This window comes from Homo sapiens, chromosome 11 (assembly GCF_000001405.40).
Source record: "Homo sapiens chromosome 11, GRCh38.p14 Primary Assembly".
NCBI lineage: Eukaryota > Metazoa > Chordata > Mammalia > Primates > Hominidae > Homo > Homo sapiens.
Window position 1 is genome coordinate 56,720,634 of NC_000011.10, and position 13,966 is coordinate 56,734,599.

Genomic DNA, 13,966 nt, shown 5'->3' on the forward strand with positions numbered 1-13,966 from the left:
CTCTGTCACTCAGGCTGGAGTGATGTGGTGCAATCATAGCTCACTGCAGCCTCACATCCTCAGGCTCACATGATCCTCTCAGCTCAGCATTCTGAGTGGCTGAGACTACAGGTGCACACCACATGCAGCTAATTTTTTATTTTTTATAGAGACGAAGGTCTCACTATGTTGCCCAGGCTAGTCTGGCCTCAAGTGATTCTCCTGCCTTGTCCTCCCAAAGCACTGGGATTACAGGCATGTGCCACCACGCCTGGCCCATAGCACTTGTTTTTCACTATATTTTCCCAAGGACTACAGAAGATAAGAATCATTTTGACTTCCTGTTTGTTTTTTCAGTTGGATGGTAACAGATTTTAATTTCAGCAAATCCAGCTCACCACATAAGATTTATAATCACTATATTCATGCCTTTGTCACAGTAAATTTATCTCTCAATACCTTGCCCTTGATCTGCCCTTCATACTTTGATGCCACTGGTGATCATTTATGTAAATTTGATGTCACAGGATTTCATACATTATTAATGTCTCATTTCTTCCATCACATATTTCTCCACCTAATCTTCAAATACGTAAACAACCCAATCCCTTGTGAATATTTATCTTCTTGGACTACTTCTAGGACCAGTGGTAGTCACAAATCTTGCAAGTAAAGATGGCCATTAAAATTGGTTCATTTGAGCAGGGTTTAATAAAGGGATTACTACAAAGAAACATTTGTGATGTAGGTAATTCCAAGGAAATTCTGGGAATAAGCCTATTTAATGGTTAATTTTAGGTATCAACTTGACTGGATTAAGGCATACCTAGAGAAATAATAAATCATCATTTTAAGGTATGTCTGTGAGGGTGTTTCCAGAGAAAATTGGCATGTGAAATGGAATGGATTAAATGAGGAAGATCTGCAATTAATGCAGGTTGACACCATCCAATCAACTGGGGGCCCAGAGAGAATAAAAACAGAGGACATGTGAATTGGTTTGTCTCTATTCTGGAGCTGGGATATACTCCTCCTCCTGTCCTTGGATATCAGAACTCCAGGCTGTTTAGCTTTTTAACTCCAGGATTTACACCACAAGCCTCTTGGGTTCTCAGCCCTTTGAACTTGGACTGAACCACACTACTGGAATTCTAGGGTCTCCGGTATATAGTCTGCCTTTTGTCGGACTTCTCAGCCTCCTTAATCACGTGAGCCAATTTTCCTAATAAACCCCCTCTTGTAAACCTCTATGTCTGTCTATCTATCTATCTATCTATCTATCTATCTATCTATCTATCTATCTCTCTATCTCCTATTGGTTCTGTCTCTCTGGAGAACGCTTACTAATACACCCTAGAACTAATAACTTCTGAGCACTGTTACCACCTCTATCCTTAATCATACAAGAAGAGAGAGAGGTTATGGGCACTGAAGAAAGAGTTTTGAAAAAGGGTCACCTGTTAGTAGCTATGGTCTAAGGCCATGGATACACCAGTTGTGCCATGTCTGTAGATAAGGAGCCTGGGGGAAACTCTCTGCCTTCACTGTCCTCCCTGCCATTGATAACCATTGGGTAAAGCTATTAAATAGTAAGCAAAGATCCCACTGATGCAAATTAATACAGGTGAACATCCTGGAGCAAAAAAAGGAGTTTAGAAGGATGGAGAATGGATTTGGAGGGAAAAATGAGATACATCCAACATACAACAGAAATATTAGTAAGGAAGTTCGTATGTGTTTTAATATGCAAATATAAACATATGAATATTAATAACACACATAATATATGTGTATACATATTATAGTTAAGCTTCTGCACAACTCAAGGGAGAATGAGAATAAAAATTATAACTAATTACATTTTTCACAAGGGAATCATAGTCTCCAAAATTTTTCCTCCTTTCTCAGTAATAATCCCCAATTCATCAATACAAAATTTAGTTTAATTGCCTTGTTAGCTATTCTCCAAATTGTGAAACCCTGAGGGGTTTCAGGAATCCGTAACCCTGGGAATTCATACTCTGACATAAAAGAATCTGGGAAAGGCAAACTTAAATTCTATTGAGATGATGGTGTTGCTGAGAATTTTAGGTAAGTTGCTTAATTCAAATGTTAAATGTAGATGGAAAATTTTTCTTCTTCCTCATAACCAGTCCAATAACCATTTACATAGTAATATATGATAAGTGCTAAAGAAAGCTTTTCTTTTTTTCTTGAGACAGAGTCTCACTCTGTTGCCCAGGCTGGAGTGCAGTGGAGGTGCCTTCATGGCTCACTGCAACCTCAATCTCCCAAGATCAAGCAATCTTCCCACCTCAGCTTCTGGAGGAGCATGGACTACAGGTACACCCTATCACATCTGGCTAATTTTTTTTTTTTATTTTTTGTAGAAACAAGATTTCACCTTGTCACCCAGTCTCGTTTTGAACTCCTACACTCAGCCTCCCAAAGTGCTGGGATTGCAGGTGTGAGCCACTGCCCCTGTTTTGAAATATATTCATCATCTTCCTGTTTTAATTTCTAAAACTGCTGGCAGCTCACACACAGAAGTAGAATTTCACACTATTAGATTCAAAAAAAAGAGCAATTAACAACACAGAAAATTGCAAGGGAAGAAAAAAAAACAAATGCACAAACAGGCAACGATTAGGAGCCACTAACAAAAGAGATAGTCTTGTTAATATCTCAAGAGCAAGAATGAGAAGAAAGAATTAAATAGAAGATATTATCAGTCTAACGGCCAAAAGACATCAAGAAAAGCTTAACATGTTGCTTTTAAAGTTTGATATTCTTTAAGAAAGTGTGAAGGCATATGGTAATTTTAAGGAAACCTCTAACAATAGAAGCATATCTCTAAATACAAAAAGTTGTATTTTAATAATTTTGGATGAAGAATGCACTTTTAGCTTTTAATATAAAAATATAATATTAGTTAGGAAGGATAGTATGTTAGCTGGTTAGTACTTCCTGCCAGCTATTATAGTCTTCTTGTTCTGATTAAGAAATACAGATGTTGGCTTGTCAAACCATCCTCTCTACCAGTGTACATAAGTAAGTATCCAGGGAAACACAAAGGAAATGTGTGTTTTACCATTTTTTTGTGTGTGTGTGTGTGTGTGTGTCCCAGGGTGTATTATGAGCATTGTTTTTTCCAGTGAGAAGAATTATATACTTTTCTTAACAGTCTCAGAGGTAGCTGAGCTCAATAAAACTCAATTATCTTTTCTGAGTAATGAACCTCAGAGCAAAATATGTGAACGAAGGGATGGAAGAGTCAAAGGGAAAGAGCATCACCCTGGGCTCCCTAAGAATAGTTAGACCTGTGAACTATTGAGCAAAGGCTACTGGTGATGGGATGGAGAAGAGAATGCTGATAGGAGAAGAAAGTACATCAAACTGTCAGTAGGTGATAATATATAAAAATTTAATACATTGAAATATTTTACATAAAAAAACAATCCATCCCAGCATTTTGGAAGGCTGAAGCAGGCAGATCACTTGAGGTCAGCAGTTTGAGACCAACCTGGCCATCATGGTTAAACCTTGTCTCTACTAAAAATACAAAAAAAGTAGCCGAGTGTGGTGGCACATGCCTGTAATCCCAGCTACTGGGGAGGCTGATGCAGGAGAGTCACTTGAGCCTGGGAGGCAGAGGTCTCAGTGAGCTGCCGAGATCGCACCACTGCACTCCAGACTGGGCAACAGAGCGAGACTCTGTCTCAAAAAAAAAAAAAAAAAAAAGCAATCCATTGCTTTACAACACTGTAACATCATTAGTTACGATAAACTAAGCACATTATTTTTCTACCATCATATGAGGAAATTATTATCCCATTTAATAGATAAGAAATAAAATTAAAGCAATTTAAATGAGTTTTCCAAGGTCCCTATTATAGAAATTGTTGCCATTAGGATTCAAATGTAGATCTGTTTATAGATCATCTTATAAAATTTGTAACTTTAAAATTAAAAAGAATAAAATTTATGACTTTAAAATTAAAAAGAATAAAATTTATAACTTTAAAATTAAAAAGAATAAAATTTATAACTTTATGCAGCAAATCTTTACATTTGTTAATTTCTTTTTTTTTTTTTTTGCCAGCACTGTTCTTTATTGTGCTAGTGTGCCACTGTCTTATTTATTTTTTTTTTAATTATACTTTAAGTTTTAGGGTACATGTGCACATTGTGCAGGTTAGTTACATATGTATACATGTGCAATGCTGGTGCGCTGCACCCACTAACTCGTCATCTAGCATTAGGTATACCTCCCAATGCTATCCCTCCCCCCACCCCACAACAGTCCCCAGAATGTGATATTCCTCTTCCTGTGTCCATGAGATCTCATTGTTCAATTCCCACCTATGAGTGAGAATATGCGGTGTTTGGTTTTTTGTTCTTGCGATAGTTTACTGAGAATGATGATTTCCAATTTCATCCATGTGCCTACAAAGGACATGAACTCATCCTTTTCTATGGCTGCATAGTATTCCATGGTGTATATGTGCCACATTTTCTTAATCCAGTCTATCATTGTTGGACATTTGGGTTGGTTCCAAGTCTTTGCTATTGTGAATAATGCCGCAATAAACATACGTGTGCATGTGTCTTTATAGCAGCATGATTTATAGTCCTTTGGTTATATACCCAGTAATGGGATGGCTGGGTCAAATGGTATTTCTAGTTCTAGATCCCTGAGGAATCGCCACACTGACTTCCACAATGGTTGAACTAGTTTACAGTCCCACCAGCAGTGTAAAAGTGTTCCTATTTCTCCACATCCTCTCCAGCACCTGTTGTTTCCTGACTTTTTAATGATTGCCATTCTAACTGGTGTGAGATGGCATCTCATTGTGGTTTTGATTTGCATTTCTCTGATGGCCAGTGATGATGAGCATTTTTTCATGTGTTTTTTGGCTGCATAAATGTCTTCTTTGGAGAAGTGTCTGTTCATGTCCTTCGCCCACTTTTTGATGGAGTTGTTTGTTTTTTTTCTTGTAAATTTGTTTGAGCTCATTGTAGATTCTGGATATTAGCCCTTTGTCAGATGAGTAGGTTGCAAAAATTTTCTCCCATTTTGTAGGTTGCCTGTTCACTCTGATGGTAGTTTCTTTTGCTGTGCAGAAGCTCTTTAGTTTAATTAGATCCCATTTGTCAATTTTGTCTTTTGTTGCCATTGCTTTTGGTGTTTTAGACATGAAGTCCTTGCCCATGCCTATGTCCTGAATGGTAATGCCTAGGTTTTCTTCTAGGGTTTTTATGGTTTTAGGTCTAACGTTTAAGTCTTTAATCCATCTTGAATTGATTTTTGTGTAAGGTGTAGGGAAGGGATCCAGTTTCAGCTTTCTACATATGGCTAGCCAGTTTTCCCAGCACCATTTATTAAATAGGGAATCCTTTCCCCATTGCTTGTTTTTCTCAGGTTTGTCAAAGATCAGATAGTTGTAAATATGTGGCGTTATTTCTGAGGGCTCTGTTCTGTTCCATTGATCTATATCTCTGTTTTGGTACCGGTACCATGCTGTTTTGGTTACTGTAGCCTTGTAGTATAGTTTGAAGTCAGGTTGCGTGATGCCTCCAGCTTTGTTCTTTTGGCTTAGGATTGACTTGGTGATGCAGGCTCTTTTTTGGTTCCACATGAACTTTCAAGTAGTTTTTTCCAATTCTGTGAAGAAAGGCATTGGTAGCTTGATGGGGATGGCATTGAATCTGTAAATTACCTTGGGCAGTATGGCCATTTTCACAATATTGATTTTGCCTATCCATGAGCATGGAATGTTCTTCCATTTGTTTGTATCCTCTTTTATTTCCTTGAGCAGTGGTTTGTAGTTCTCCTTGAAGAGGTCCTTCACATCCCTTGTAAGTTGGATTCCTAGGTATTTTATTCTCTTTGAAGCAATTGTGAATGGGATTTCACTCATGATTTGGCTCTCTGTTTGTGTGTTGTTGGTGTGTAAGAATGCTTGTGATTTTTGTACATTGATTTTGTATCCTGAGACTTTGCTGAAGTTGCTTATCAGCTTAAGGAGATTTTGGGCTGAGACAATGGGGTTTTCTAGATATACAATCATGTCGTCTGCAAACAGGGACAATTTGACTTCCTCCTTTCCTAATTGAACACCCTTTATTTCCTACTCCTGCCTAATTGCCCTGGCCAGAACTTCCAACACTATGTTCAATAGGAGTGGTGAGAGAGGGCATCCCTGTCTTGTGCCAGTTTTCAAAGGGAATGCTTCCAGTTTTTGCCCATTCAGTATGATATTGGCTGTGGGTTTGTCATAGATAGCTCTTATTATTTTGCGATACATTCCATCAATACCTAATTTATTGAGAGTTTTTAGCATGAAGGGTGGTTGAATTTTGTCAAAGGCTTTTTCTGCATCTATTGAGATAATCATGTGGTTTTTGTCTTTGGCTCTGTTTATATGCTGGATTACATTTATTGATTTGCATATATTGAACCAGCCTTGCATCCCAGGGATGAAGCCCACTTGATCATGGTGGATAAGCTGTTTGATGTGCTGCTGGATTCGTTTTGCCAGTATTTTATTGAGGATTTTTGTATCAATGTTCATCAAGGATATTGGTCTAAAATTCTCTTTTTTGGTTGTGTCTCTGCCAGGCTTTGGTATCAGAATGATGCTGGCCTCATAAAGTGAGTTAGGGAGGATTCCCTCTTTTTCTATTGATTGGAATAGTTTCAGAAGGAATGGTACCAACTCCTCCTTGTACCTCTGGTAGAATTCGGCTGTGAATCCATCTGGTCCTGGACTCTTTTTGGTTGGTAAGATATTGATTATTGCCACAATTTCAGATCCTGTTATTGGTCTATTCAGAGATTCAACTTCTTCCTTGTTTAGTCTTGGGAGAGTGTATGTGACGAGGAATTTATCCATTTCTTCTAGATTTTCTAGTTTATTTGCGTAGAGGTGTTTGTAGTATTCTCTGATGGTAGTTTGTATTTCTGTGGGATCAGTGGTGATATCCCCTTTATCATTTTTTATTGTGTCTATTTGATTCTTCTCTCTTTTTTTCTCTATTAGTCTTGCTAGCAGTCTATCAATTTTGTTGATCCTTTCAAAAAACCAGCTCCTGGATTCATTAATTTTTTGAAGGATTTTTTTGTGTCTCTATTTCCTTCAGTTCTGCTCTGATTTTAGTTATTTCTTGCCTTCTGCTAGCTTTTGAATGTGTTTGCTCTTGCTTTTCTAGTTCTTTTAATTGTGATGTTAGGGTGTCAATTTTGGATCTTTCCTGCTTTCTCTTGTGGGCATTTAGTGCTATAAATTTCCCTCTACATATGCTTTGAATGCGTCCCAGAGATTCTGGTATGTTGTGTGTTTGTTCTCGTTGGTTTCAAAGAACATCTTTATTTCTGTCTTCATTTCGTTATGTACCCAGTAGTCATTCAGGAGCAGGTTGTTCAGTTTCCATGTAGTTGAGCAGTTTTGAGTGAGATTCTTAATCCTGAGTTCTAGTTTGATTGCACTGTGGTCTGAGAGATAGTTTGTTATAATTGCAGAAATACTTTTTATGCAAGGTTGTGATGGACTTGGTGCAAGCCTGTTATTTTTTGCAGAATCTTTTGTGATGGTTTTGTTCTCAGGCATACAATCTTGAGAACCCTCTCTTCATGCTTTCCCCAGCTCGCTTTGTGAGTTTTTTTTTTTTTTATATTAGTGACTCCATTTTGATTCTGACAACTTTCATATTTTCTCCCTTTTGATCAAGACTTTCTCCAAAGGCATCACTGAACAATAATCATGTAGCTAGATTTTGATATCCCTTCGTGCTGGAATGGACCTATGCCTGGGCTGGTCTCATCCCACCTTAGGGGGAGAGTTTGGTGACTAGCAGTCAGTGTTAAAACCTCTTTAGCCACACTGAGCAACAAGGGAAGTTTGAAGGGAGTGGGACACAGACTGAGTCTACCTGGAGTTTATTATTAAGTTGAATTTTCTCTGTTCTGTAGTCTTTTGCAACCATACCAAAGTGCTGGGCCAACATTATATCCTTAGGAGTTGTACTTCCACACATATTTAAGAAGTAACAGCTACAAAGTTTAAAAAAGGAAAATACAAAGTAAAATTAATAGTAATATCACAATTCCAGTTTATATAATAGTTTTCAGTCATAAACCCAGGCTTAAAGGCAACCAACTGAATAAAGCAAATGACATTAGAGAATTAGGTGAGATCTGTTGTAATCAGATGGCCTGTTTTCTTATTTTGCATATGTGGGTCCCAACTTCCCCGGAGGAGTTTATCCAAGTACATAATGTAATATTAGCAATAGCACAGACATTTTCTTATTTAACCAGTGGATAATAAATAATTTCTTGTATTAGGTTTTGTTAAGATACCAGCATAAACTACTGATTGTAAAACTTTAATTACACTATTATTTCGCCAAGTAAGAAAGGTAGCATTAAGAGGAGTAAGAGTCTTATTATGACATGGAGTCATTCTGATTTCTTTAGGAAAGCTGTATACAGTGACCAAAAAAAAAAAAAAATGTGAATTTCTCCTCCTGGTTAGAATGTCTCTGGTCATGACATCATGTAGCTTGGTAAACTTTTTGGGTGGCCCACACATCAGACACAATTCTTGTCCCTTAAAATTCATCTCATTTCAGCTTATAAGGCTTTAGGAAAAAATCAGGTTTTGTTGTTAATTGTAGCCAAATATTGGAGGAGAATTCAGGTTCTAATCCTGTCTATAGATACGTAATAAGAACTTAAAAGTAATGCACAGAACCACAATCTAATAACAAGTGTATTATAATTTTCTTTAGAAACAATTTTTCTCTATACATTCAGGATCTAATCTAGTTAACAGGTGGATAACAAGAACTTGAAAGCAATGCATATGACTATAATCTAATGTTTATTATAGCTTTTTTTTTTAGAATCATAATGTTTTCTTTCTGTATTGATGACATAAAAATCTCCAAGTTGAAACCTTATTGAGGCTAGGAAGCCAAACCAAGGTAGGCTTTACATTTTACTTCCATTCTTAAGGTTCCTAGGCCTGCCAGGAAGTGACAATTATTATTTATTTACTGTAAGGATGAAAACCCTATGAGGCCAAGCATTTAAAGTTCATTCTCAAATATTTTACTTTAGTCAAAACCTTGACAATATAACCAATGTTTCCAATTTTATTCTCTTAAAAAGAGGAAACAAAATTTTATTGAATGTATGTTAACAATCCTATTGTTATAAAGCAATAAGTATACTCATGAATAGTTTCCAAATATTGGAGGAATCAAGTACGGAGAAAAATCAAATGCTTCCACCTTTGTTCACAAAAATATACTTTACCGAATTGTTACAAACTATAGATAGTGTATGAAAGAAAATGTCCTTAAACCCAGAAAACAAATTGTTTAAGTAAAGAATCAACAATTATTTAAATAAGTTCTGAAAACATTACCATCGATTATTTAATTTTATATAATTAATTTTTTGTTTTGCTTCATCTTGATTAACTGCTTCATGAACTCATCCGTTTCTTTGTTAGAGCTCTGAACATTTTGATTTTTGTCTTTCAATCATAAGGGTATCAGAAATCTATGTTCAAGAGTACTCGTTATAGTCTTTTCCATGAAAAGCAATATAGGTGACTACAAATGATTTTACAGAAGATTCAAAACAACTGTGGATGACAAAAACTTAGAATATCCATGGTTAAAAATGTAATGAGAATTCACAATTGACAAGGGATTTTAATTTAGTTATTTGTATTTATGTACTTTTTTTTTTTTTTTGAGACGGAGTTTTGCTCTTGTTGCCCAGCCTGGAGTGCAATGGCATGATATCCCCTCATTGCAACCTCTGCCTCCCGGGTTCAAGCGATTCTCCTGCCTCAGCCTCCTGAGTAGGTAGGATTACAAGCATGGGCCACCATGCCAGGCTAATTTTTTTGTATTTTTAGTAGAGACGGGGTTTCTCCATGTTGGTCAGGCTGGTCTTGAACTCCCAACCTCAGGTGATCCGCCCACCTCGGCCTCCCAAAGTGGTGGGATTACAGGCGTGAGCCACTGCGCCCAGCCTATTTATGTACATTTTAAGATGACAACAAGAACCATAACTGATAGCATCACATCAGAACTCGTAGACTTTTATAAATTTTATATAATCTTTAGAACACTCACATTAATAACATATCACACACACATAACTTTAGAAAAGATTTAACATAACAAACAAAATTATGACTCATAACATTAAATGTAGCATGTATATAATTTTTGAAAAAATTAGACAATAATATATCTATAAATGTAACTGAAAGAAAATCTAGTATCATTTATCATTTGACAGTTCTTTAATTTACCAAATAAGCCTAATCATTTAATATTTCTACAAAATGAGAGATACATTCTTTAAGTCTCTCCAAGGACTTAACTGAAAATCTCTAAGTTAATTCTAGGTCAAAAGATTTAATTTAGGATTTTGACCTGAGGGAAGCCTACCAGATGTCAAAGGTTCAAAAGACTTGATCAAAACAGAATCACAGGTCTCTGTAAAATATCAGTCATTAACCAGAGTAATAATCAAAAGACTTCAAAATAAATGCAGAAAGTTACATGGGTGTAAGAACCTTAACCCTGTTAAAGCTCAGTTTTTCTAAGTAATCAAAAATTTAATAAAGACAACACAGGAAATTATCTTTATAAAATTTTAAATCTTTATTTTTTATAAAGCCAGTTATTAAAAAGGTAAAGATAAACGTACTGCAGTTTCATTGTTTTTCCTTAAGGGAAGCTCATTTAGATAACCTGGAAGTCAAACCTGATGAAAAGGGCACCTGAATTTAACCAGACACAGGAGGAGTGTGTCCAGGTTGTAAGGTTATGCTATATTATAGAGGAATGTAAACAAGAAAACTAATATCTTGAACAGAGGAATACCTGGCTCTTAGTAACAACGTGGAAAGTTTCCTGGTCACAATTCACACACAGCAAGAAAAACCTAAAGTATAAAATCAAATTATACTGAGGGAAAACATTGGTTTTCTAGGCCTTTAAGATAAGTATTTCAGCATCAGGCTATAACAGTGTTAGAACCAGGAAGAAAAAGAGTTGATGAAAAGGTTGAAAGAAAGAGCTATCACTCCAGCCAAGCAAAAAAACAAACAACAACAACAACAACAACAAACCCACACATTTTTAAGGGAAGAAAGAGAGCTGAAGACAATGATTCAGGACCTGCCAATTATATGCAGCAAGATACAGCAAAAGTTAAACTTCTGAGACATAAATCTGAAATGTTTCCAGAAAAAATTTACCTCCAAAAATAAAAGTACAATTCTGGATGAAAAAGACAGCATTTCAAAACTAAAACTAGAGAAATTAAATAGATCTCAGGAAGAAATATGGCAGAAATAGAAATTGTCTGTAGTTTAGAATATCACCATTAAGAAAAACATGTTTCAGAATTAAAAATCAAAAATTTTTGCAGTCTTACTAAGAGCAAATCAATATATTAAGAAAATCTTTTTCTAATATAGGGGACCAAATTTTTTAGTTTAATGTTAGTATATTTTCAATGTTAAGTCTCATTTTATAGACAGTCATAATTTTTTTTAAATTATAGCCAACTTGATCACATACAAAATTTCTTTTATAAATTCCCCCTTTCACAAACACCATACCTACTCAGACCATTTACAGCATGCTTAAACTTTCTGTTATGTCTTATACTTAATCTTTCTTAAATAACCAGTCATTTTACTTTAGAACAAAAAGTTACCACAAAATATTTTTTCTCATACAAAATTATCTTCTTTTCAACTTGTTTTGCAAAAATATATTTTCATACCCATAACTTTTTTCCTATCTCTGTCTCTCTCCTACTTACTGGTACTTTTCCATCACATTGTAGCCTATTGTTTTATACTTGTTAAATTTATATTTTGCAAAAAAAACCTTTAAGTAACTCTAAATTATGCAAAATTATTCTTTTTTTCTTGATAAAGAATATGCTTTTATGCCTTTCTTATAATTTTTTATTAAAACACGTCTTACTTTTTTGAGAGAATTTATATTATAGTTCTAGAGGTATTAATTAGTATTTTTAATTTAATAACCTTAAATTTAGTGAAAACCTAGGAAGCCAGAAATCTTGAATTATCTGTCATATCAGTATTTTATATATGAAAATCTTTATAATTTTTAAAAACATGTTTTTCTATAACAGAATTTTACGTATATTCATGGAACCAAATCTATTTAGTCTTTCTATATTATTTTAGAATCCAAGAAAAGAAACTTATATTTATGGTCAGAATTTTGTTTTATGATATTATTTGGAAATGACTCAGACATTTAATGAATATCATTTAAATCAATATAATATAACTTTAAGATTTCAAATTACATGAAAACTATATTTACAGACATTTACCTCATTTCTATTATCTAATTTATTCAATTTTTTACAGTTTACATAGATTAGTTATGAAAATTGAGATATGAAATAAAGCTAATCATCATTTCTAGTTATTTTCCTATTTGTATAACTTATGAATATCAGGCATGCACCTAAGTAGAAATCTTAAATTATATGAATATTTTGCTTATAACTTAGAAGATATAGCTATTTTTACTAAACAAACATTATTAAACTAGCCTTAATTATCAAAGAGTTGACAAAGATTATTCTGTTTTAGGCTGAGTTTATAGTTTTATAACCTTTGGGTCAAACCCCAACACCCTAAAACATCTAGCAAAGACAAATATAAAATTCTACCAGTACACCTGGGCAAAAACATATGTTGACAATTTCCTGATAATTTTAAAACCAGCTTATTTATTAAAGACGTACTTAAGTCACATGAACTAAAAAGCATTTGGGTTATTATACATTTTTTATGAGTGCTCATTTATCTAAGATATGTGAATAGAATTCCTTAAGAAATTTTTTGCCGCAGGGCACAGTGGCTCACACCTGTAATCCTAGAACTTTGGGAGGCCAAGGAAGGCAGATCACGAGGTCAGGAGTTCAAGACCCAGCCTGACCAATTGGCATGGTGAACCCCCATCTCTACTAAAAATACAAAAATTAACCAGGAGTGGTGGCGGCACGTGCCTGTAATCCCAGGAGGGTTACTCAGGAGGCTGAGACAGGAGAATCGCTTAAACCCAGGAGGCAGAGGTTGCAGTGAGCTGAGATAGTGCCACTGCAGTCCAGTCTGGGTGACAGAGTAAGACTCCATCTCAAAAAATAAAAATAAAAATAAGAAATTTTTTGCCAACTATGCCAGATTTTACCATGTAGAAACAACGTGCCACATAATACATGTTCATACACATATACGCACCTAAACACATATATGCACACACAAAGATGTGATAACTTTCCTCAATATGTAATCTAATGAAGGCTGCAGACCAAAATTTGGGTGAAGCAATTTATATAGTAGCTTGGGTTTTATTGTTGTTTGTTGGTTTGTTTGTTTTTCTTAGCCTCTTTAACATTTATATTTTATTTATTCAGTCTCAAATGAGTTTAGAGTTAAATTTTCAATTGTTTACATTGTAGCTAGGACTGGTTGAATTGTATTATAAAAACAAAATCTCCAGTGTTGAACTAGTAACAAATCTATCTTTTTTTATTTTATTTTAATTTTTTTTGCAGGTCTGTTTTGCTTGATTAACAAATGGAGACAAGAAAGAATTTTAGCAGGATTTGTTGTTTTTTTCGCAGGGGCTGGGGGGTTAGTCTTTGTGTGGCAGAAAAAGCAAATTTTTTATGCCAGACAAAGATGATTTATATTGTTTAGAGTTCAAGATTTTGACCTGTTAGACCTGAGAGCCTAACATTTATACATATTTATCTAGCTCTTTTTATAGATTATTAATTTTTCAATAAATTATTTCATCACCATAAACAAATTTTAGTCAGGTAAACCTAAATTTACATTTTCTAATGGTGTCTAGGTTGTTGGTTACCATGGAGCTCTTGTAATTTGTGAAGCTATTA